The sequence below is a fragment of the Homo sapiens genome, chromosome 4 (assembly GCF_000001405.40).
Source record: "Homo sapiens chromosome 4, GRCh38.p14 Primary Assembly".
Taxonomy (NCBI): domain Eukaryota; kingdom Metazoa; phylum Chordata; class Mammalia; order Primates; family Hominidae; genus Homo; species Homo sapiens.
Window position 1 is genome coordinate 140,401,671 of NC_000004.12, and position 25,978 is coordinate 140,427,648.

Below are 25,978 nucleotides of genomic sequence, written 5' to 3' on the forward strand. Positions count from 1 at the left end.
GAGTCTTATTCTGTAAAGAAAATAACTCTAAGCTATATTTCAAAAGAAATTTATAAGTATCACGTAGTTTTTGTCCTACAGACATGGTAAACTTTTTCATGTTGTTAAAGATTATAAAATTGATGCCTTCAAGTAACACAGCTTTATATAAAACTTGAAGGCGAATTGTAAGAGCTATGTAAATTCACATTGAAAAAAGATATCTACAATTCTTTTCAATTTCAGTTGAAGACAAAATATTCAGTTTTATCATTTGTTCCTTAAAAATACTTATTAACTTTAATAAGGTTTTCTTAAATATTAAAATATCATACCAGAATCAAATCATCAGTGTCTGCTAGGAGTTTAATGTATGCACCTCCACAATCAATACCATCTTGAAAATTTACTTCATATCTGAATAAAGGGAAAAAGAACCGTACTACTGATAAATAAAATTTACTAGTTGCTCTTTAAAATATAATCTTATTATTCTCAATTCATGTAAGTATAAATTTTTTTACATTATCAGAAAACTCATATAAAGCATATCTACAACCTATAGGAAATAAGCAGAAACGCTTTTCTACTACTCTAAAACAAGACACATCATTAAAATATTAAAAATAGAATGATTACAATCAACTGCAGACAAACCAATCAATTTGTTTAAATTTTTTTCCATCAAAACTGATAAATTAAGCATAAGATACTGTAACTAAAACTACAACAGGAAATTTCAAATTCTGATAAGGTAAGCACTATACTTACACTTTATAAACTAAAAAAAAATAAAGGCCGTAAGAACCACAGCTACAGCAAGATTTCTACGAAATTGCTAATGATCTTAGATACCTAGAGTTCATTACACCTTACCATGTTAAATAAGTTGTACATTTAATTAAATAGCTCCAGCAAAGAGATTCATAATCTCAGTCAATAAGCTGGATTTCAGACCTAAACAGCCAGGAGATATGGGAAATTTTCACTGTTTAGTATAACAGCTAAAAGAATGAACATGAGAGTCTCTTATGAATTTACAACACAGTGTAATTCTCAGCAAAGTTTTTTTTTCTTTATTGGTAACTTTAAAAGGAAATAGCCTTGCTATGGCAATGAGGCATAGACTTACGAGATTTTTTGTTGTTAAATTAACGAATTATATGTGACAAAAATCAACAAGGAAATGGCTGTCAAACAGTAAAAACAAAAAAGGTTATGATTTCATTAAATGAATTAAATCAAAAAGACATGAAAACTAGAGAAATAACCAGAAATAATGATCATTTTAATAAAGGACTATAGTTGTAAATGTTTCTGAAGAAATTTAGTGACAAGAAGGTAAAACATGATAGTATACAAAATTTTAACAGTTTGAACTCAATTGGTGTACATATTTTGTATTAAAAAAAAGGAAACAAAATTTTAAGTATCTCTGATTTGAAAGGGGTGATTTTCTCCTATACTTTTTACCATGCTTTATTTCTTAAGCTATCTACAACAGTGGCCACAAGCATGTACTTTAAAGTCAAAATGACCTGAGAGTTATTCTTGATTCTGCCACTTACTCTAGTGACTCCTTGGGTAACGGCAAGTCATTTAAGCTCTAAGTCTCTATTTGCTCATCTATAATATGCAGACATGGCCCATACTTACACCTCAAAGGATTGTTATGATGATTAAAGGATATCATGCCCAATGAGGGGCAAATACATGCTCAAAATGCTTCTATGATAATCAGAAGGAAGGTATTCTTTCGTTCTTTTTCATTTTTTAAATAGAGGACAGTTTGTTTTCCTCAAAGTCTTATCTTTATTTTAAGCAATAGCTGACAAAATTTTGTTTTTCATGGAATTTAAGTATTTGAAGACTATAAGTAGAACACGTGGTGCATGATATGACTTAAAGGTCACTGTTTTTAGAAAAAAAATTAAAAAGATTTTGCTTTATAATAGATTATCTCAGGACAGAGCATTCTGTAAAAAGGTAAGAATTGGAAAAAACAATTTTGTACAGTGGCTGCATAAATGTGAACACAGTTTCATTGTTCCATTATGCCTAGATTCAATCACCTTGTCCATTTCTTATACTGCAAACTTTTAGAGTTTTCAAATAATTAACTTTTACCTAGTATAAATGATTCACAATGGATTAGAGGATCAACAAAATGTTTATCATACAGCTTGACTACTGCTAAACTTCCAGTCATAGGAAAACCAAGGACATATGCAGAGTATATGGTAACCTTAATTTCTTTAGAGTATCATTTCTCAAATTGTTCCATGAAATAGCAATTACTGTTAGGTGGGAAAATAAACTTATGTGATCAAATGTGTTTGGGAAACACAGTAGTAATGCTGAAAACAGGTTTTCATATGTAGAACTTCTCAGTCTTTAATGAGCTAACATACTTCCTTTTTTAATTTTATTTTTATTTATTTATTTATTTTTTTTTTGAGACAGTCTCACTCTGTTGCCCAGTTGCCCAGGCTGGAGTGCAGTGGCATGATCTCGGCTCACTGCAAGCCCTGCCTCCCGGGTTCACGCCATTCTCCTGCCTCAGCCTCCCGAGTAGCTGGGGCTACAGGCGCCTGCCACCACACCCGGCTAATTTTTTGTATTTTTAGTAGAGACAGGGTTTCACCATGTTAGACAGGATGGTCTTGATCTCCTGACCTCGTGATCCACCCACCTTGGCCTCCCAAAGTGCTGGGATTACAGGTGTGAAGCACTGCGCCAGGCCTTTACTTCCTACGTTTTGAGTTAGGATATTCTTCATCTTTAATTATATTCATATATATTAACATGTATACAATTTGGGAAAAGCAGCTTTATAGTAAAGTTATGTTGTAAATCAGCATTTATAGCATTGAATATAAATCTCTTCATTTTATTTACCCCATTTCATTTTATCAATATTAAGAGGAGACAAACATTCACTCTCCTTTGAATTGTTTTTAAACATATGAAAGACTGCTATTCAATTCTTGGTCCTCTTTTTTTTTCTTTCTTTCTTTTTTTTTGAGGCAAGATCTCATTCTGTCACCCAGGCTGCAATGCACTGGTGTGACCTTGGCTCACTGCAGCCTCGACTTCCTGGGCTTAGGTGATCCTCCCACCTCAGCCTCCAGAGTAGCTGGGACTACAGTCGGGCACCACCATGCCTGGCTAATTTTTAAAATTTTTTTGTAGAGTCGGGGTTTTGCCATGTTGCCAGGTTGGTCTTGAACTCCTGGGTTCAAGCTGTCTGCCCACCTAGGCCTCCCAAAGTGCTGGGATTACACACATGAGGCATGAGGCACCATGCCAGGCATGGTGGGGAGGTGGAGAGGTTGAAAGAAAGGATTATCTGTGAGAATGTGACCTTTAAAAGGGGTCCCTGCTTGAAAGACACTGGTATTCATAAACATTTATTTTTGAAATAAATTTTCTGCCTTTGAATCTTATCACTGGTTTAATAGCAATTTTTATTATTCTGTTCTGAATATATTGTTTAATATTTTGATAACAAGTAATTTTTTTTATTTTTATTTTTTTTTTTATTTTTTTTTTTGAGACGGAGTCTCGCTCTGTCGCCCAGGCTGGAGTGCAGTGGCGGGATCTCGGCTCACTGCAAGCTCCGCCTCCCGGGTTCACGCCATTCTCCTGCCTCAGCCTCCCAAGTAGCTGGGACTACAGGCGCCCGCCACTACGCCCGGCTAATTTTTTGTATTTTTAGTAGAGACGGGGTTTCACCGTTTTAGCCAGGATGGTCTCGATCTCCTGACCTCGTGATCTGCCCGCCTCGGCCTCCCAAAGTGCTGGGATTACAGGCGTGAGCCACCGCGCCCGGCGATAACAAGTAATTTTAAGAGTAAAACAAAAATGGTGATTTTTACTATGCATTATATAGTTTATGACAGCAGAATTGTATATATTACAGTATATATCACATAATTTTTAAATTTTTTTAAGAGAGCCAAACTATTTATTCCTCATTTAGTCAATACAAGCACTCAGACCAAAGGAAATATGCTGCTTAATAGCCCACATACAACTCCTTGAAATAAACAAATATAAATATTAGTACTAGGCCATAAGAATGGTTGATCTTTGTATAATTTTATCATTTACCTGCTTTTTATTGAAAGCATGGATATGTTTGTGTGTATATGCACATTTGTGTTTTAACTAAGTGAAACGAAAAAGGAAGATCTAGATTTTCACATCCATTTTCAAAATACAAGCTATATTCAGAAGCCAAAGCTAATACAAAATTCAGAAAAAGTATTCAAAAACATAGCAACACTTACTGAACTATCAAGGGTTTATCAGCAAAAATGAATGGTTTTGCTAATACAGCAGATATTGCATGATGCTTTGCTCTAGATTTTAATACCAGTCCTCTGTCACCAGGTACCTGGTTTTCTTTCAACTCTTCAATTTCCCATCTTCCTAAAAAATAAAGCAAAGCAAATTAAACTAAAACAGAAAACATTGACCTAAGAATTATTTATCAGCAGTTGTGAACAATAATTTTTATCCAGGAAGCCTGACTTGGGAAAAATAAAAATTTTAAATCAGGAAATATCTTCAACTATATATGTATGCCTGCTCATTTATCTTTTTTTTTCTATCAAAGAATGATTTCATCTTCTTAACTAAAGTTGTGAAAACTAATAGCAAACACTATAGTGTCTAATTAAGTCACTCTTAAAGCTGAATTAGTTTGGTTTTTCTATGAAAGAGTTTTTAATCAATGAAATTATAAAATGTGGTTTGTCTCAATAGGGTATGTCAATATTGTATTTTCAAAATGACATATTTGAAACTGCATATGACACATAACACAAAATGAGTAGTCTATTTATTTTGAAATGCACAATACTCATCAGCTACTTTTCTTACTTGCAGCAGTTATTGTAAAGATTTAAAGTTCATTTTGAAAACTGCATGCTTAATTCACACAAACCCTTCTCAGGGTACACTAATCAGCTCTCAGAACTTTTGGCCAGGAAGGCAGCAAAGCACTGCATAAGTGCTAAGCTACAACAAGGCAAAACTGAGTTAGGCCTTCTCTGTGTTACAATTTTCCATGTTAAGATCAGGACATTCCTGAAATTAGATTATGGGCCACATACAATGCAAAGCTAGGTGGGCTACCTATAGCCCAAAAGTTATATGTTAGACTTTACTCCTTTACTGGTTTTAGAATAGAAAATCAACTTATATTTGTTTGTGTAAAATCTTCTGTTTTGAAAATGATAGGTATTGCCTATTCCAAGAAAATTCAATTCGACAAAACTGGCTATTTTCCAGTATTGTGTCAACTCAAAATATTCATTAATGAGCACTTTTGAATCACAAATGCTCTTATATCATTTTTTTTCTTTCTAAGAAAAATAATGCAAGAACCAGACACAGTCTTATAAATCAAAGAGGGGTAATTTTTGGTCTATAATTGTACATACATTTTTAGACTTTTAAAAATGTGTGTGTTTTTATTAAGTTTCCAAGTTTCTTTTCTTTCTCCCCCTGATTTGGTCATATTATATTTTTTTGAAAAAGATTAATGTACTTGGTTTTCTTTCTCTCACATTGATGGTGAATTGTATTATCACTAACTTGTAGTTTGCCTCTCGCCCCCTATAAAGGTCTTATTTTAAGAAGTAACAACTTTATCTGGAAGTCCTAGCCAGCGCAATCTGGCAAGAGAAAGAAATAAAGGACATACAAATTGGAAACGAGGAAGTCAAGCTATCACTGTTTGCTAATGATATGATTGCATACCTAGAAAACCCAAAAGACTCATCCAATAGACTACTAGACTTGAAAAATCAATTCAATAAAAGTCTCAGCTTACAAAATCAATGTACACAAATCAGTAGTACTGCTACATAGCAACAACGACCAAACTGAAAATCAAATCAAGAACTCAATGACTTTTACAATGGCTGCAAAAAAAAAAAAAAAAATCCCTAGGAATATTCTTAACAGAGGTGAAAGATCTATCTATACAAGGAGGACTACAAAACACTGCTGAAAAAAATCATAGATGACACAAACAAATGGAAACACATCCCATGCTCATGGATTGGAAGAATCAATATCATGAAAATGATCATAGCGCCCAAAGCCATCTACAGATTCAGTGTGATTATTGTGAAAATACCAAAAACATTTTTCACAGAATTAGGAAAAAAAATCCAAAAGTTCATATGGAACCAAAAAAGAGCCTGAATAGCCAAAGTAATCCTAAGCAAAAAGAACAAATCTGGAGACATCACATTACCTGACTTCAAATTATACAGGGCCATACTATCAAAACAGCATGGTAATGGTCTCAGGTAGACACATAGACCACTGGAACAGAATAAAGAACCAGAAATAAAGCAAAATACTTACAACTAACTGATCTTTGACCAAGCATACAAAAATATAAATTAGGGAAAGGACACCCTATTTAATAAATGGTACTGAGAAAACTGGCAAGCCACATATAGAAGAATGAAACTGGATCCTTACTTGTCACCTTATACAAAAATCAACTCAAGATGGATTAAAGACTTAAACCTAAGATCTGAAACCATGAAAATTCTAGAAGATAACACCAGAAAAACTCTTCTAGACATTGGCTTAGGCAAAGAATTCATGACCAAGAACCCAAAAGCAAATGCAACAAAAACAAAAATAAATAAATGGGACCTAATTAAACTAAAAAGCTTCTGCACAGCGAAAGAAATAATCATCAGAGTAAACAGATAACCCACAGTGTGGGAGAAAATATTAATAACCTATGAATCTGACAAAGGACTAGTATCCAGAATCATGAGACTCAAACAAATCAGCAAGAAAAAAATTAATCCCATCAGAAAGTAGGCAAATGACATAAATAGACATTTCTCAAAAGAAGATATAGAAATGGCCAACGAACATGTTTAGAAAATGCTCAACATCACTAATCATCAAGGAAATGCAAATTAAAACCACAATGAGATACTACGTTACCCCTGTAAGAATGGCCATTATTAAAAAGTCAAAAAACAATTGGCATGGATGTGGTAAAAAGGGAACATTTATACACTGCTGGTGCAATGTAAATTAATACAGCCTCTATGGAAAACAGCATGGAGGTTTATTAAAAAACTGAAAGTAGATCTACTATTTGATCCAGAAATCCCACTACTGCTTTTTCTGTGCATATGGTGGTGTCCTTTTTGGAGTTGATAAGCATATATATATATATATATATATATACACACACACACATATATATACACACATATATGTGTATATGTATATATATTTGTGTATATATGTATATATGTGTATATATATACACAGGGGATTTGCTGGGATGGCGAACACCATGCAAAGGAAGACATGCAGGTATGATCTTTATCTTACACTAAACAGAAACTATGAAAAGGAAGCAGACAGCTGACATCCAACATGCTATCTGTTTTGCTGTTGTGATGTAACTGCTTATCAGAGTCTGAGTGCAGGGCCACATGTTTATGAGTATGAGGTCCTCTGAGAAAGAAGAAATTACCACTATCAGTCACTGTGAGAAGAGGCTGATCTTGCTTCAGCATATAACAATCAAGGAGGCTGGTTTTTAGACCACAAAGAAGAAAATATTTGGTCATACTCTAGGGTAGTCCTATTAGGGAAGACAATATGACCCCTGCCTATAGGACATTTCTTTCTAGAGCTAAGGTTGAAGATAATCCTATTAGACACCCTATGATAATGGATATAGACCTGGAGATGAGGATTCCAGAAGCAGCCACATATCTTGTAGCTCTCATTAGCTATCTTCTGCTTTTTACTTGCTAGGAGAATCTTACCATAAATTATAATTTATTTAATTTATAGATCAAGGTGTGTCTATGCTTGAGATGAAACCATAGAGACAGCAGTAGCCTGGGAAATACTGCTTCAGGAAATGCAAAAGACTAACAGCAGTAGAGTGAAAATTCAACTGTTCAGTTAGAAAACTAGATTAACTGGCTTAAGAGTGAGATTTTCAGAAATAGCGAAGGGTTTTTCAGAAATATTGAAGAGGGACAAGATAAAAGACTGAACATTTTATTGTGAGGCAGGGTGGGGGACTCCAGCCAACACAATTTAACAAAAATCTAATCTCAAAGTTTAGTGAACTCCAGGCCATACTGGTTATATCTAATACTTAAATAAATATTTTACCATCGTATATTGAAATTTCCTCATCCATGTCATCTTTCTTTGCTTTTGATAAGACCCATCTGTAAATAAAGTTGAACATACATATATGTCATTGACAATAAAAGCAGCAATTTATAGATATAAGGCATACAGAAACACAATAAAAGATCACCCAATACAGTCACTTTTCATTCAACAATAAATTCATACTTAGATGCTAAATAAGGATGCCTACACATAATCCTGAAGGGCTAGAGTTAAACCGAATTTGGAATCTATAATTTACTAGCTGTATGATCACAGGTAAGGTACAAGAAACCTCGGTTTCTCCACCTGTAAAATGGGGATTAAATATGGTAATTATCTACTTTTTTTAAGGACATCTGACACATAATAATCATTTAATATTAACTTTTGTTTTTTCCATTATTTAGAGTAGAGCAGTACTCATATTTGTCATCTGAACTTAAGAGTGTTAATCTGTCCTAGAGAATAAAGAAATGTTATAAATTTCATCTTTGCATTCGGAATTAGTATATTTTCTTTGAATAAATAACTATTCAAATTAAACATTCTATCAATTACAAAAATATACTAAGTACTGATTTACATTGTCAATTAAACTACTTTAAAATTTTTTATAGATCTGTAGTAGAGATAATTTTCATAGGCCAAAACCTAATAACTTCAAAAAAGCTAATAAATCAAAGAAAACATTCTCTTGAATGAATACTCACCCAGCCAACCTTCCACTATCAAAAGTTTCTGCAAAATATACTTCTCCTATAGGTTGAGGTGTCTTATATTTAATCTAGAAAAGAGATTTTCCAAGTCTAAAGTTATTCATTTTCACAAATATTTCAATTAAATAATCTTCCTAGTGAAGAACATAGTATGTAATGCACATACAGGTAATACAGATATGAGGTGACAAACTCAAATAGGATACAAAACTTTGTACCTAGTAATGATAAGGTACAAGAAAATATAACAAATACCATGATGACAAAAATACTATACGTACAAACAGTGGATACACTGACCCCTTCTAACACAGAAGGAACAAAGGGACTCTGACAAGTGACAATATTTATGGATAAAACTCTTTGGGAGCAAAGGAAACAGCATAATGAAAAGCATGTAAGATGTAGAGCTTAGTAAGCACATAGGCTTTTAAAATTAACTCTTAAGTTTTACTGTTAGGTACCCTAAAAGATAATAATATAATTTTCCAAGATTAGGAACCCAGAGAGTGAAAAGATTCTATGGAGATAGCATTGCAAAGCAATTATCAACAAAGCGTTGTTTCAAGTGCCTTTGAAGTGTTAGCTGTTAGGGTGGCAATAATGATGATGGTGGCAGTGGTATTGCTGATGATATAGTGGCTCCTTTAATTCTTATAATATTTCTATGGGGGAAGTATCATTAGTAACCACTTTATATATGATGAAACTGGGACAGACAAAGTAACTTGCTTACTGCTGTCCAGTTAGATAATTGTAGAACTTACATATAAAGCCAAGACTGTCTGGCTCCAAAGCTCATACATTTTTACTACATGATACAGAATTTACCAACAAAATAATTTAAAAGAGTAAAGACTGATAAACTATCAAGAGATAATTTCAACTGAGGATGAATAAATAAAAATTTGCCTAAAGTAATAGGTTAGTCTGGATCCTCTCAGAATCAGCGTGTTGTGATTGTATCTGTATGATTAGTGAGATTAGATTGTATCTGTATGATTAGTGAGATTTCTTCCAGTAGGCTTTAGGGAAAAGGGTGCAGAAATACTTTTTCTATTTTCACTGTCCCTATCCTACCCTGATAGCAAAACACTTCCTGTCTGTTTAAGGGAGGGAAATCAGTAATTACACAAAATTCCACGTAATTACTGACAGGGTCAAGATTCAGCTACCAAAACTGCCAATCTTCTATGAAGTTTACTGAATTACAACTTTACTCTTCTCTATATTTTTATAGATTGACAAAACGGGCAGTGGTGTCACAAGAGGCTTCCTTCTGATAGGCCACCCCTAAAATCAGTTTATTTTGCCCTTTATTTATACTTCACCCTATGTAGATTACTCATGCTATAAAATTAGAAGCATCAAAAATCATTCTTTCCCACTTCCTATCATATTCTCAAAGTATCACCAAATAAGTCGAGTGGTAGTTACCTGTCAATTTCTTTGAAGTATTAATATTAACCTTCAAAGACCCTGTAGTAACTGTATCCAAGTCAGTAATTATTAGTACTCGGAGTACTTACTTTCTGCAGATTATAGAAATAGGCTTTAAAAAAAATTGTCCTTACAGAGCTTCAATTTAACAGGGGAAACATACTATTCACCTTAAACAATGAAACAACACATTTGCCAATGAAAAATTCTTAATAAGAGGAAATGAAGTAAAGAAATCTGTAACAACTACATATTATTCCCTTCGGCCCTTCAAACAGTAGCTGGCAGAATACAATTAATGCTTTCTCACCACCAAAAATATCTCTGATTATCACAAGGTTAGATATGAATATTCCTCAATGTAAAAGCTCTTATGTATCATCAAGGTATACAAAAATCCCTGCAATTTCTCAGACTCCTGTTAATCACTACTTCAAAATATACATTTTAACAATGCTGAGAGAAACACGAGTCAGGTTTACTAAATGCCCACCCCTCACCCTCACTTCCTTTTCTAATTCATCCTCCTTCTTAGCATTTTCTTTTCTCAGAGAAATAAAGACAAATACTTTACTTCTCAAGGAACTGCAAATTATATAGCCTTTTATTTGAAAAGATCTAGCAATGTCAAAAGTATGAATAAAAACCTTACTATTAGCTTAGTTCTCTTTAATCCGTGACAAACTCCTGTTTTGATAGTAAAAACCTCCCCCATATTTATTTGTTTAAGAAACTGTGCTAGATGCCATGAACAAATTTCTGAATTACATGGGCACTCTAAAAATTAAAGTAATAAGACACTTAGAAAAAAAATCAATGTTTTTCTATCTAGCTCTAAAATGAAGATTATTTGAACTGAAATGAATCACCAGAGGTCAATCACTTCATTGTACTATGTAAAGGAATAATTTATAACCCATTTCTCAATAACCATACCTCTGAGGAAAGTTCACTTTCATTAACATCAATTTCTTCTGAATTTTCTTCAAAGTCTTCCGTCTCAACATCATCATCCATAAATTCTGCATTAATTGAGATGAACAGAAGACCCAAACATAGCCAAAAGGCTTGGAAATGCATATTGATTATCTGTGAAATTAAAAGTAATTAGTGAAAATAAAACAAAATTGTGAAAATAAGTGTTAAGTATATGTAGAAATAAATAATTTCTCCATAATAGCTCCTTTATTCTAGGATGGCTTTTAAAACAAATCACTGACAAAATTATTTAAATTGTGCTTTGAGCAAGTGAAAATACAAACTTCAAATCTTGTAGGAAACAGATTCTATAGCTGCAGGCCTTCATCCAAAAACAAAGAGCCAATGGCACAAAATCTAAAGATGGGGGGAGGAGCCAAGATGGCCGAATAGGAACAGCTCCCGTCTACAGCTCCCAGTGTGAGCGACGCAGAAGACGGGTGATTTCTGCATTTCCATCTGAGGTACTGGGTTCATCTCACTAGGGAGTGCCAGACAGTGGGCGCAGGTCAGTGGGTGCGTGCACCGTGCGTGAGCCGAAGCAGGGCGAGGCATTGCCTCACTCGGGAAGCACAAGGGGTCAGGGAGTTCCCTTTCCGAGTCAAAGAAAGGGGTGACGGACGGCACCTGGAAAATCGGGTCACTCCCACCGGAATACTGCGCTTTTCCAACAGGCTTAAAAAACGGCGCACCACGAGATTATATCCCGCACCTGGCTTGGAGGGTCTTACGCCCACGGAGTCTCGCTGATTAATAGCACAGCAGTCTGAGATCAAACTGCAAGGCGGCAGCGAGGCTGGGGGAGGGGCGCCCGCCATTGCCCAGGCTTGATTAGGTAAACAAGGCAGCCTGGAAGCTCGAACTGGGCGGAGCCCACCACAGCTCAAGGAGGCCTGCCTGCCTCTGTAGGCTCCACCTCTGGGGGCAGGGCACAGACAAACAAAAAGATAGCAGTAACCTCTGCAGACTTAAACGTCCCTGTCTGACAGCTTTGAAGAGAGCAGTGGTTCTCCCAGCACGCAGCTGGAGATCTGAGAACGGGCAGACTGCCTCCTCAAGTGGGTCCCTGACCCCTGAGCAGCCTAACTGGGAGGCACCCCCCAGCAGGGGCACACTGACACCTCACACGGCAGGGTATTCCAACAGACCTGCAGTTGAGGGTCCTGTCTGTTAGAAGGAAAACTAACAAACAGAAAGGACATCCACGCCAGAAACCCATCTGTACATCACCATCATCAAAGACCAAAAGTAGATAAAACCACAAAGATGGGGGGAAAACAGAACAGAAAAACTGGAAACTCTAAAAAGCAGAGCGCCTCTCCTCCTCCAAAGGAATGCAGTTCCTCACCAGCAACGGAACAAAGCTGGATGGAGAATGACTTTGACGAGCTGAGAGAAGAAGGCTTCAGATGATCAAATTACTCTGAGCTATGGGAGGACATTCAAACCAAAGGCAAAAAAGTTGAAAACTTTGAAAAAAATTTAGCAGAATGTATAACTAGAATAACCAATACAGAGAAGTGCTTAAAGGAGCTGATGGAGCTGAAAACCAAGGCTCGAGAACTACGTGAAGAATGCAGAAGCCTCAGGAGCCGATGCGATCAACTGGAAGAAAGGGTATCAGCGATGGAAGATGAAATGAATGAAATGAAGCGAGAAGGGAAGTTTAGAGAAAAAAGAATAAAAAGAAATGAGCAAAGCCTCCAAGAAATATGGGACTATGTGAAAAGACCAAATCTACGTCTGATTGGTGTACCTAAAAGTGATGGGGAGAATGGAACCAAGTTGGAAAACACTCTGCAGGATATTACCCAGGAGAACTTCCCCAATCTAGCAAGGCAGGCCAACGTTCAGATTCAGGAAATACAGAGAACGCCACAAAGATACTCTTCGAGAAGAGCAACTCCAAGACACATAATTGTCAGATTCACCAAAGTTGAAATGAAGGAAAAAATGTTAAGGGCAGCCAGAGAGAAAGGTCGGGTTACCCTCAAAGGGAAGCCCATCAGACTAACAGCGGATCTCTCAGCAGAAACCCTACAAGCCAGAAGAGAGTGGGGGCCAATATTCAACATTCTTAAAGACAAGAATTTTCAACCCAGAATTTCATATCCAGCCAAACTAAGCTTCATAAGTGAAGGAGAAATAAAATCCTTTACAGACAAACAAATGCTGAGAGATTTTGTCACCACCAGGCCTGCCCTACAAGAGCTCCTGAAGGAAGCGCTAAACATGGAAAGGAACAACAGGTACCAGCTGCTGCAAAATCATGCCAAAATGTAAAGACCATCAAGACTAGGAAGAAACTGCATCAACTAACGAGCAAAATAACCAGCTAACATCATAATGACAGGATCAAATTCACACATAACAATATTAACTTTAAATGTAAATGGACTAAATGCTCCAATTAAAAGACACAGACTGGCAAATTGGATAAAGAGTCAAGACCCATCAGTGTGCTGTATTCAGGAAACCCATCTCACGTGCAGAGACACACATAGGCTCCAAATAAAAGGATGGAGGAAGATCTACCAAGCAAATGAAAAACAAAAAAAGGCAGGGGCTGCAATCCTAGTCTCTGATAAAACAGACTTTAAACCAACAAAGATCAAAAGAGACAAAGAAGGCCATTACATAATGGTAAAGGGATCAATTCAACAAGGAGAGCTAACTATCCTAAATATATATGCACCCAATACAGGAGCACCAAGATTCATAAAGCAAGTCCTGAGTGACCTACAAAGAGACTTAGACTCCCACACATTAATAATGGGAGACTTTAACACCCCACTGTCAACATTAGACAGATCAATGAGACAGAAAGTCAACAAGGATACCCAGGAATTGAACTCAGCTCTGCACCAAGCGGACCTAATAGACATCTACAGAACTCTCCACCCCAAATCAACAGAATATACATTTTTTTCAGCACCACACCACACCTATTCCAAAATTGACCACATACTTGGAAGTAAAGCTCTCCTCAGCAAATGTAAAAGAACAGAAATTATAACAAACTATCTCTCAGACCACAGTGCAATCAAACTAGAACTCAGGATTAAGAATCTCACTCAAAACCGCTCAACTACAAGGAAACTGAACAACCTGCTCCTGAATGACTACTGGGTACATAACGAAATGAAGGCAGAAATAAAGATGTTCTTTGAAACCAACGAGAACAAAGACACAACATACCAGAATCTCTGGGACGCATTCAAAGCAGTGTGTAGAGGGAAATTTATAGCACTAAATGCCCACAAGAGAAAGCAGGAAAGATCCAAAATTGACACCCTAACATCACAATTAAAAGAACTAGAAAAGCAAGAGCAAACACATTCAAAAGCTAGCAGAAGGCAAGAAATAACTAAAATCAGAGCAGAACTGAAGGAAATAGAGACACAAAAAACCCTTCAAAAAATTAATGAATCCAGGAGCTGGTTTTTTGAAAGGATCAACAAAATTGATAGACTGCTAGCAAGACTAATAAAGAAAAAAAGAGAGAAGAATCTAATAGACGCAGCAAAAAATGATAAAGGGGATATCACCACTGATCCCACAAATACAAACTACCATCAGAGAATACTACAAACACCTCTACACAAATAAACTAGAAAATCTAGAAGAAATGGATACATTCCTCGACACATACACTCTCCCAAGACTAAACCAGGAAGAAGTTGAATCTCTGAATAGAGCAATAACAGGATCTGAAATTGTGGCAATAATCAATAGCTTACCAACCAAAAAGAGTCCAGGACCAGATGGATTCACAGCTGAATTCTACGAGAGGTACAAGGAGGAACTGCTACCATTCCTTCTGAAACTATTCCAATCAATAGAAAAAGAGGGAATCCTCCCTAACTCATTTTATGAGGCCAGCATCATTCTGATACCAAAGCCAGGCAGAGACACAACAAAAAAAGAGAATTTTAGACCAATATCCTTGATGAACATTGATGCAAAAATCCTCAATAAAATACTGCCAAACTGAATCCAGCAGCACATCAAAAAGCTTATCCACCATGATGAAGTGGGCTTCATCCCTGGGATGCAAGGCTGGTTCAATATACGCAAATCAATAAATGTAATCCAGCATATAAACAGAGCCAAAGACAAAAACCACATGATTATCTCAATAGATGCAGAAAAAGCCTTTGACAAAATTCAACAACCCTTCATGCTAAAAACTCTCAATAAATTAGGTATTGATGGGACATATCTCAAAATAATAAGAGCTATCTATGACAAACCCACAGCCAATATCATACTGAATGGGCAAAAACTGGAAGCATTCCCTTTGAAAACTGGCACAAGACAGGGATGCCCTCTCTCACCACTCCTATTCAACATAGTGTTGGAAGTTCTGGCCAGGGCAATTAGGCAGGAGAAGGAAATAAATGGTATTCAATTAGGAAAAGAGGAAGTCAAATTGTCCCTGTTTGCAGACGACATGATTGTATATCTAGAAAACCCCATTGTCTCAGCCCAAAATCTCCTTAAGCTGATAAGCAACTTCAGCAAAGTCTCAGGATACAAAATCAATGTACAAAAATCACAAGCATTCTTATACACCAGCAACAGACAAACAGAGAGCCAAATCATGAGTGAACTCCCATTCACAATTGCTTCAAAGAGAATAAAATACCTAGGAATCCAACTTACAAGGGATGTGAAGGACCTCTTCAAGGAGAACTACAAACCACTCCTCAATGAAATAAAAGAGGACACAAACAAATGGAAGAACATTCCATGCTCATGGGTAGGAAGAATCAATATCGTGAAAATGGCCATACTGCCCAAGGTAATTTACAGATTCAATGCCATCCCCATCAAGCTACCAATGCCTTTCTTCACAGAATTGGAAAAAACTACTTTAAAGTTCATATGGAACCAAAAAAGAGCCCGCATCGCCAAGTCAATCCTAAGCCAAAAGAATAAAGCTGGAGGCATCACACTACCTGACTTCAAACTATACTACAAGGCTACAGTAACCAAAACAGCATGGTACTGGTACCAAAACAGAGATATGGATCAATGGAACAAAACAGAGCCCTCAGAAATAACGCCGCATATCTACAACTATCTGATCTTTGACAAACCTGAGAAAAACAAGCAATGGGGAAAGGATTCCCTATTTAATAAATGGTGCTGGGAAAACTGGCTAGCCATATGTAGAAAGCTGAAACTGGATCCCTTCCTTACACCTTACACAAAAATTAATTCAAGATGGATTAAAGGCTTAAACGTTAGACCTAAAACCATAAAAACCCTAGAAGAAAACCTAGGCATTACCATTCAGGACATAGGCATGGGCAAGGACTTCATGTCTAAAACACCAAAAGCAATGGCAACAAAAGCCAAAATTGACAAATGGGATCTAATTAAACTAAAGAGCTTCTGCACAGCAAAAGAAACTACCATCAGAGTGAACAAGCAACCTACAAAATGGGAGAAAATTTTCACAACCTACTCATCTGACAAAGGGCTAATATCCAGAATCTACAATGAACTCAAACAAATTTACAAGAAAAAAACAAACAACCCCATCAAAAAGTGGGCGAAGGACATGAACAGACACTTCTCAAAAGAAGATATTTATGCAGCCAAAAAACACATGAAAAAATGCTCATCATCACTGGCCATCAGAGAAATGCAAATCAAAACCACAATGAGATACCATCTTACACCAGTTAGAATGGCAATCATTAAAAAGTCAGGAAACAACAGGTGCTGGAGAGGATGTGGAGAAATAGGAACACTTTTACACTGTTGGTGGGACTGTAAACTAGTTCAACCATTGTGGAAGTCAGTGTGGCGATTCCTCAGGGATCTAGAACTGGAAATACCATTTGACCCAGCCATCCCATTACTGGGTATATACCCAAAGGACTCTAAATCATGCTGCTATAAAGACTCATGCACACGTATGTTTATTGCGGCATTATTCACAATAGCAAAGACTTGGAACCAACCCAAATGTCCAACAATGATAGAATGGATTAAGAAAATATGGCACATATACACCATGGAATACTATGCAGCCATAAAAAATGATGAGTTCATGTCCTTTGTAGGGACATGGATGAAATTGGAAAACATCATTCTCAGTAAACTATTGCAAGAACAAAAAACCAAACACCGCATATTCTCACTCATAGGTGGGAATTGAACAATGAGATCACATGGACACAGGAAGGGGAATATCACACTCTGGGGACTGTTGTGGGGTGGGGGAACGGGGGAGGGATAGCATTGGGAGTTATACCTAATGCTAGATAACGAGTTAGTGGGTGCAGTGCACCAGTATGGCACATGTATACATATGTAACTAACCTGCACAATGTGCACATGTACCCTAAAACTTAAAGTATAATAAAAAAAAAATCTAAAGATAAAGATGATAGTAGTTATCAAACACAAATAATATGTAGACCTCTTTAAAAGTATCATGATTCCTAAATGTTCACTGAAATTGTTTTTATTATAATGTTGCTTAAGTGTATATAAACATAAAAATGGAAATTTTATAATTATAAAACCAAAATACATTTATATATAAATGCTGAGAAAAGATACAAAAATTTTTTTATCACAAATTTAATGTGGTAGAGTTTTACTAAAATCAAAGCACATTCAAAAGATCAAACAAATATAGGGCTTATTGTAATCAGGTAGACTGCTATGGAGAAAGTTCTTTTGCATATATAATTCCTATAATTCCACAATTACATAATTACTTATATATTTATGGACAAAGACAAAAATGATGGGTGCTGTCATTAACTAGGATTTGATCTCTCTAAATCACAAAAGAGGTATAACTGGGATAGGAAGTAAATGTAAAGGGATCAATTTGACACAATGAAATAGGCTTATTTCCTTAATTTCCTAGTTATTGGCACAGAAATTTGTATATCTGCAAATTGCTTATTAATTGTGAACTCTAAAAGCTTCATTGTTCTAAAAGCCTAAGGGCCTTCCATGTTACATAGTAAAAGGCACTTTGCTTGACTGGCTATTAATCATTTTTGAGCAAAATAAAAACACATAAAATAATACTACTAATAATGAACATTAATATAACTTTAGACCCATATCCTCTCTTTCAAATGAATGTACACTTTAGGTTCCAAACAATTAATTTGTTGAAAAAAAAACATTCTAAGTGCTTTGTTTGAACTCTGGTGTACTGGGCTGCCAAGAAAGAGTTAAGAGGAAGCCAAGCAGGTAGTGCTCTATCTGGAACTCTACCCTTAACTCAACCAGAGCACCCCAGTTTTATTTGTATTCTATATTATAGTTTTTCCTGACTTTTCCTTAGAAATAGTTGCCAATGCTTCAGAAAACAGTTCAGAAAACACTTTATCTTGAAAGTTTGTTTCTTCTTTAAAATTCTATGATCTTATATTTACATCAAAGAACTAGCTAATTTAATCTTTACAGCCCAGGACATGAATAGCGTAGGTACTATTCCTAATCAACAAAACAAAAACAGAGAGTTTTAAAGAACTGCAATTGGTTAGAAGGCATTCTGTAGACAATGCAGTTCTATTGTTTTTATTTGTTCTTTTTTTTAAAAAAAAAAATCAGAAATACAGACTTAATACTTTCTGCGTAATGCTGCAGTATCCTATCATTCTTCAGTGCTGCACCAGCTGACAATTGAGAATTAGATACTGAAGTTCACAGTCTTGAAATCTGTCTCACAATGGTGCCAACATGTTATTAAGTTCCAAACAAAACTATGAGGTTTGTGACATCTCATTTCTTAGAGAGAGGTATGCTATTGACAAGTCTGTACTGAAACTCTGAGAGGTCAGATGCTGGGGTAATACTACAAGAAAATGAAGTAGTTAATTTATGCATTTAAAATTGTTTTAAATCACGTGGTAAAACATTCTCATTGTTGTACAACTAATTTCCAAAACTTTCTTCATGCTCTAAAACTAAAACGCTATACACTTTTAACAACTCCCCACTACCCTTCCCTCCAGCCCCTGGAAACCATCTTTCTAATATCTATCTCTATGATTTTGACTACTCTAGGTACTGCATATAAGTGGAATCATACAGTATTGGTCTTTCTGTAACTGGCTTATTTTACTTAGCATAATGCCCTGAAGCTTCATCCATGTTGTAGCATGTATCAAATTTCCTTCCTTTTTAAAGCTGGACAGTATTCCATTGTGTGTATACACCACATTTTGTTTATACATTCATCTGTCAGTGGACACTTGGGTTGCTTCCACCTGTTGGCTGTTGTGAATAATCCTACAATGAATATGGGTATACAAATAACTCTTCGAGACCTTGTTTTCAATTCTTTTGAGTATATACCCATAAGTTGAATTGCTTGGTCATATGATAATTCTATTTTTTTTTGAATCCTCATACTGTTTTCCACAGTGGCTTTACCATTTTACCTTCCCACCAACAAGGCACAAGGGTTCCAATTTCTACACATCCTTGCCAACATTTGTTCAAAATTATGTTTTTTTAAATAGTAGTCATTGTAATAGGTCCTAATATGGCGTAGTATCATATTGTGGTTTGATTTGCATTTCCCTGATGATTAGTGATACTGAGTATCTTTTCATGTGCTTGTTGGCTATTTATACATCTTCAAGGGAAACATGTCTATTCAAGTCCTTTGCCTATTTAAAAAATCAGGTTTTGTTTTTGTTTTGAGTTGTAGGAGTTCCTACAAATTCTGGATACTGACCCCTTATCAAATATATGATTGGCAAATATTTTCTCCCATTGCATAGGTTTTTCATTTTGTTGTGTTCTTTGATGCACAGAACTTTTTAATTTTGAGTTTTCCAATTTATATATTTTTTCTTTTGTTGTCTGTGCTTTTGGTGTCATATAAAAATTACTGGCAAATTCAATGTCATGAAGCTTTCCATGTTTTCTTTTAACAGTTTTATAGTTTTCTTATGTTTAAGTCTTCAATCCATTTCGAGTTAATTTTTGTCTATGATTTAAGGTAAGGTTACAACCTCATTCTTTTGCATGTGGATAGCCAGTTTCCCCAATATCATCTCATGAGAAGACTGTCCTTTCTCACAAAATGGTCTTGGCACTTTTATAAAAAAAATTTGAACATATATGTGGGAATTTATTACTAGGCTCTTTATTGTATCCCATTGATATATATGTCTGTCTTTATGCCAGTCTCACACTGATTTGATTACTATAGCTTTGTAATAAGTTTTGAAACAGAGATGTGAGATTTCCAAACTTATTCTTTCCCAAGATTGTTCTGGCTATTTGGGGTCCCTTGAGATTCTATATGAATTTTACTATTCTTGCAAAAAGTGCTATTAGGATTATGACAGGGATTGCACTGAATCTGTAGATTACTTTGGGTTGTGTTTCCATCTTATTAAGTCTTCCAATCCCAATGAACACAATGTCTTTCCATTGATTAATATTTGTTTCTTAATTTCTTTCAGCAGCATTTCATAATTTTTCATGTACAAGTATTTTACTTCCTTGATTTATTCCTAAGTATTTTATTCTTTTTTATGTTGTTATAAATGGAATTGTTTTCTTAATTTCCTGTTCATTGTTAGTATACAGAAGTGCAACTAATTTTTGTGTGCTAGTTTTTTTACCCTGCAACTTTAGTGAATTCATTTGTTTGTTTTTTGAGATGGGATCTCACTCTGTTACCCAGGCTGGAGTGCAGTGGCACCATCATGGCCCATTGCAGCCTTGAACTCCTGGACTCAGGTGATCCTCCACTTCAGCCTCTCGAGTAGCTGGGACTACAGGCAAGCATCACCATGCCCAGCTAATGTTCTGTATTTTTCTGTAGAGATGGTTTTTGCCATGTTGCGCAGGCTGGTCTTAAACTCCTAGACTCAACTGATCTGGCTACCTTGGCCTCCAAAATTGCTGGGACTACAGGCATGAGCCACCATGCCTGGCCTTCATTTATTATTTCTAACAGACTTTTGTATTGTGTTCGTGAAATCTTTAGGGTTTTGTACATACATATAAGATCATGTTATCTGCTGAGATAATTTTACTTCTTCCTTTTCAATTTGAATGTCTTTTTTCTTTCTTTTTCTTCCCTAATTTCTCTGGCTCGGGAGAAGTGGAAAAAGCAGGCATCCTTGTCTTATTCTAGATCTTAAAGGAAAAGCTTTCAGTCTTTCACCATTTAGTCTGATGTTAACTGTGGGCTTTTCATATATGACCTTTACTATGTTGAGGTGGTTTCCTTCTATTCCTAGTGTACTGAGTGTTTTTTATTATGAAAGAGTGTTGAATCATGTCAAATGCTTTTTCTGCATGAATAAAGATGATCATGTGTTCTCCCCTCCCTACATTGTAAATGTGGCATGGTACACTGATTTTCTTATGTTGAATCATCCTTGAATTTTAGGAATAAATCCAACATGGTCATAGTATATAACTCTTTTAATATGCAGCTGAATTTTGTTGTCAAGTATTTTGTTAAGAATTTCTGCATCAATAATCATCTGGAATATTGCTCTGTAGTTTTCTTGTAGTGTCTTTGGCTTTGATAACAGGGTTATGCTGGCTTCATAGAATGAATCTGGAAGTGTTTACTCCTCTTCAATATTTCGGAAGAATTTGAGGAGGACTGGTGTTAATTCTTTCAATGTTTGGTAGAACTCACCAGTGAAGCCACCTAGTCCTGGGCTTTTATCTGCTGGGAAGTTTTTGTTTACTGATTCAATCTCCTTACCAGTTACAGGTCTGTTCAGATTTTCTACTTCTTCATGATTAATCTTGATAGAGTGTGTGTTTCTAAGAATGTATCCATTTAATCTAGGTTATCCAATTTGTTGCCATACAATCCTTCAGCGTATTCTCTTATAATCCCTCTTATTTCTGTAGAATCAGATGTAATGTCCTTTCATTACCAATTTTAGTTATTTGAGTCTTCTCTCATTTTTCTTAATCTAACTAAAGGTTTGTTAATTTTTTTGTTGACCTTTTCGAAGAATTAACTCTTGATTTCACTTGTTTTCTCTCTTGTTTTTCTATTTTCTATTTTGTTTCTCTCTGCTCTAATCTTTATTATTTCCCTCTTTCTTCTAACTTTTGGGTTTCATTTGCTCTTTTTCTAGTTCCTCAAGGTGTAAGTTAGGTTGTTAACTTGAGATCTTTTGTTTTTCATGTAAGTGCTTAAAGCTATAAATTTCCCTTTTAACACTGCTTTCACTGTATCCCATAAGTTTTGGTATCTTTTGTTCTCCTTTTCATTTGTCTCAAGATGTTTTTCTAACTTTTCTTGAGACTTATTTGGCTCATTGTTCAAGAGTGTGCTGTTTAATTTCCACATATTTGTGAATTTTTCTTGTTTTCCTTCTACTATTGATTTCTAGTTCCTTTCCTTTGTGTTCAGAAAACTTACTTTGTATGATTTCAATCTTTTAAAATTCATTAAGACTTGTTTTGTGGTCTAATATGGTCTATCCTGGAGAATGTTCTATGTGCAGTTAAGAAAAATGTGTGTTCTGCTATTGTTGGGTACAGTGTTGTCCATATGTTTATTATGTTTAGTTGGCTTGTGGTGTTATCTATTTCTTTATTGATCTGTATGGTTGTTTAAGTTATATAATTTTAGTACAGCAAGAATTTGTTTATATGGTATAGGGTAGAACATTTAGTGCTAATGTCACCCTCTTCCCTCCTTATAAATTAAAAGGTAGCATGCCCAGGGTTCCAAGCTTCTTATGTATTCCTCACTCCATGAGGCTTGCTGAGATCACTAAATATCAGTTGTGCCTTCATAAGAAGGGAGGCACTGAAGAACTACATCCTTCTGCACCAACACGTATCTTTGATCTCATGTATGTTCTCTGCACTGCTTCTGTGGTAGTTCAATAACAAATTGAAGCACAAGTAACTTTATCCATGAATGAGATACCATTCTTCCCAATCTTTGAAATCTAGATCAAGTAGTCTGGTCTACTTTAAATAATTACACCAATATCTCCTAAAAACCCTACTGGATCTCCACTACCACCCCCAAATTACAAATTATAAAGTGCAGCTCATGTACTGGTATTGAAGTAATGCTCACTGTCACATCAAAGGTAAGTAAGGCACACAAAGAAAAGACAATCACAGGATATGCAATATGTGTTGTATAGTGTGGGAGAAGTTGCTGGCTGATCACAAGGGTAATTTCCTTGGCACTAGATGTGACCATTACCTGGTTCCAGCCAACAGAATGTAAATAGAAGACCTGTATGCCATTGTCAGCCCTTGCCCATAAAAACTTCCTATAATTATGAATTATAATTCTTTATGATCTTTCCCCTTCTGGTTTGATGCAAGCAATTTTGAAGGTCATGGTTGAAAACGGCAAAATTCCAAGGTAGGAAGTTGCAGAATCCCTGAATCATTACTTGGAGGAGAGTCATTTTATTAGTCAGAGTTCATCAGAGAAGCAGAATCAATAGGGTGTGTGTGTGTGTGTGTGTGTGTGTGTGTGTGTGTGTGTACATACAGGCATACCTCATTTTACTGCACGTTGATTTATTGCATTTTTCACAAATTGAAGGTTTCTGGCAACACTGCATTGAACAAGTCTACAGCTGCCATTTTTCCAACACTATAGTCACTTTATGTTTCTGTGACACATTTTTGTAATTCCTTTTTTTTTTTTTTTTTTTTTTTTGAGATGGAGTCTTGCTCTGTCACCCAGGCTGGAGTGCAGTGGCACAATCTCGGCTCACTGCAACCTCTGCCTCCTTGGTTCAAGCGATTCTCCTGTCTCAGCCTCCCGAGTAGCTGGGATTATAGGCGCGCGCCACTATGCCCGGCTAATTTTTGTATTTTTAGTAGAGACGGGGTTTCACCATATTGGTCAGGCTGGTCTCCAACTCCTAACCTCAGGTGATCCGCCCGCCTCGGCCTCCCAAAGTGCTGGGATTACAAGCGTGAGCCACCGCGCCGGGCCTTCTTTCACTCTCAACACACCTATTTAACACACTTTTTGTACATGCTATTTCTTATAACTGCGATGCCTTTCTGCTGTTATTCAGTTTTAATGGCTGACTGAGGATCCGACCAACACTGGTATATTCCAGAAGTGGTGTTTGACAATCACCTATTACTTAAAGTTTTAGTTGTCATGTGGCTTCAGGAATGCAATGTAGAATGATATAATAAAAAGTACACCCAACATGGCACAATCGCACCAAGTTTCTAGTTTTATTATTAAAAAGACAAGTGATAAAAACTGCTGTGGGCCTGTTTTCTCATTTGTGACGTGAACTAGACAATCCAAAGATTCTTTAAAGTTCATAATTCTAGTTTTCTATTTAAAAACACCAGTATTTATTAGGTACTTAAAAAGTACTACAGCTAACTTACAACACTTCAATTTCTAGACAAATGCATCAACATACTTACATCATTTACACACAATAATTAACCTTATCAACTAGCTAAGACAGAGAGTACAGAATATCTTGTTCTGAGGATTTGGAGATGAGATCTAAATGTTACTGGAAGATCAAACCAATAAGACGTGAAGGCAAAACTCCAAACTGAAAACAGGTCAAACTTACAATGACCCAAAGGAGGGCTACCTCGAGTGATGTCGACATTTGTAAAACAAGCAAAATCATCAGATGAGATCGGGATTTTGCCTGCTTTTAAGCAACAAAAAGTTTATACGTTAATGAACTCTTTTCTAATTTGAGACTTCTTCCTGTGGCCACGTTATTTACCTTTTCTCTCCCAGTCCTGAGCTTTGGTTGCCATTTGCTTTTAACTCCCAAGCAAACACCTCCTCTTTGTTGCTTGGGCAGATGCTATAAATAAAATCAGCGAAAGTGTCTGATTGATGGTAAACAGGCCTGGGGCGATAATGAGTCTAGTAATTAGGGCCTCTCTGGATTCAACCCAGCCCTTTCGCCCGCCCCCCGGCGGCGCACAATGGGCTCTGCGCGGGTATCGAGGGAGCGGCCAACAGTCCCTGGCCCCACCGCCGTGAAGTGGGGTCCCTTCGCTTCCACATAGGTGGAGACTGAGACAGCCGAGCCTATTTTGATCTCGTTTGGGTTTCTGTAAGGAGCAGTCAGCAGAGTGAGCAGCGCCCAGACGCGCCCCGGGCCCCCTCTACAACCATTGGGAGAGCGCCCCGGGCTCAAGCGTGGAACGGGGCTGCAATGGCAACCGCTGGAATAACGGCCTCGGCTCCCGGTGGCTCCTCAAGCCCGCAGGGGAGGCCGGCCGGGCTAGGCACCTAGCTGTCCCCGTGCTCGTCCGCCCCAGCCCGGGCGCAGCAGGTGGATGCGGCGGTGCTGAAGACACAAAGGGTCCCAGGTGGCACCACCTCCTGCGTCCACCCACGGGGCCGCCAGAGCCCAGTCAAGACCCTAGCTCGCTGCAGCCCCATCGCCAGACTCAACATCCACCCTCACTTGGCCCCGACCGGTTCAGCCCTCTGGCGGCAAAGTAACGGGGTGCCTGGGGGAAGCAGCAACGACTCCGCTTCCTCACCCCAATCTGCGCGCAAAGGGCAGCGGGACAGCGGGAACGCGGCCTGCTGCTCACGCACCTCTCTTGCGGCCTGTTTTCGGCAGTGACAGCTCAGATGTCCAAGTCGTTGCCACTTGGTCCCCGCGTCTCTTCAGACCAGTCCCGCCGGCGGCCGCGCAGCAGCGACTACT

The 25,978-nt window shown here is 36.8% G+C and overlaps 1 protein-coding gene across 2 annotated transcripts in view, besides 2 other annotated features; it reads right to left on the reverse strand.

Annotated features, from left to right (window-relative positions):
• Window positions 1-25,978, reverse strand: part of CLGN (calmegin) — a 39,196-nt gene extending 13,218 nt beyond the window's left edge. The window contains exons 1-7 of one of the 2 annotated variants that reach the window (NM_001130675.2): window positions 25,867-25,978; window positions 25,034-25,117; window positions 11,265-11,417; window positions 8,883-8,956; window positions 8,167-8,225; window positions 4,272-4,413; window positions 315-396 (exon numbers count right to left, since the gene is read on the reverse strand). In NM_001130675.2, coding sequence (NP_001124147.1) covers window positions 315-396; window positions 4,272-4,413; window positions 8,167-8,225; window positions 8,883-8,956; window positions 11,265-11,408 — 501 coding nt within the window. In that variant the 5' untranslated portion in view covers window positions 11,409-11,417; window positions 25,034-25,117; window positions 25,867-25,978. The remainder of the gene's footprint in view (window positions 1-314; window positions 397-4,271; window positions 4,414-8,166; window positions 8,226-8,882; window positions 8,957-11,264; window positions 11,418-25,033; window positions 25,118-25,866) is intronic. The other variant, NM_004362.3, reaches the window with a different exon arrangement.
• Window positions 11,975-12,540: an enhancer, noted in NCBI's record as "NANOG-H3K27ac-H3K4me1 hESC enhancer chr4:141334799-141335364 (GRCh37/hg19 assembly coordinates)". NCBI's record gives its function as "activates a minimal SCP1, AML or CMV promoter by ChIP-STARR-seq in naive and primed H9 embryonic stem cells {active_cell/tissue: H9 hESC(naive and primed)}" and the evidence as "EXISTENCE:reporter gene assay evidence [ECO:0000049][PMID:30033119]".
• Window positions 25,135-25,184: an enhancer, noted in NCBI's record as "active region_21935". NCBI's record gives its function as "activates an Ori minimal core promoter by ATAC-STARR-seq in GM12878 lymphoblastoid cells {active_cell/tissue: GM12878}" and the evidence as "EXISTENCE:reporter gene assay evidence [ECO:0000049][PMID:35858748]".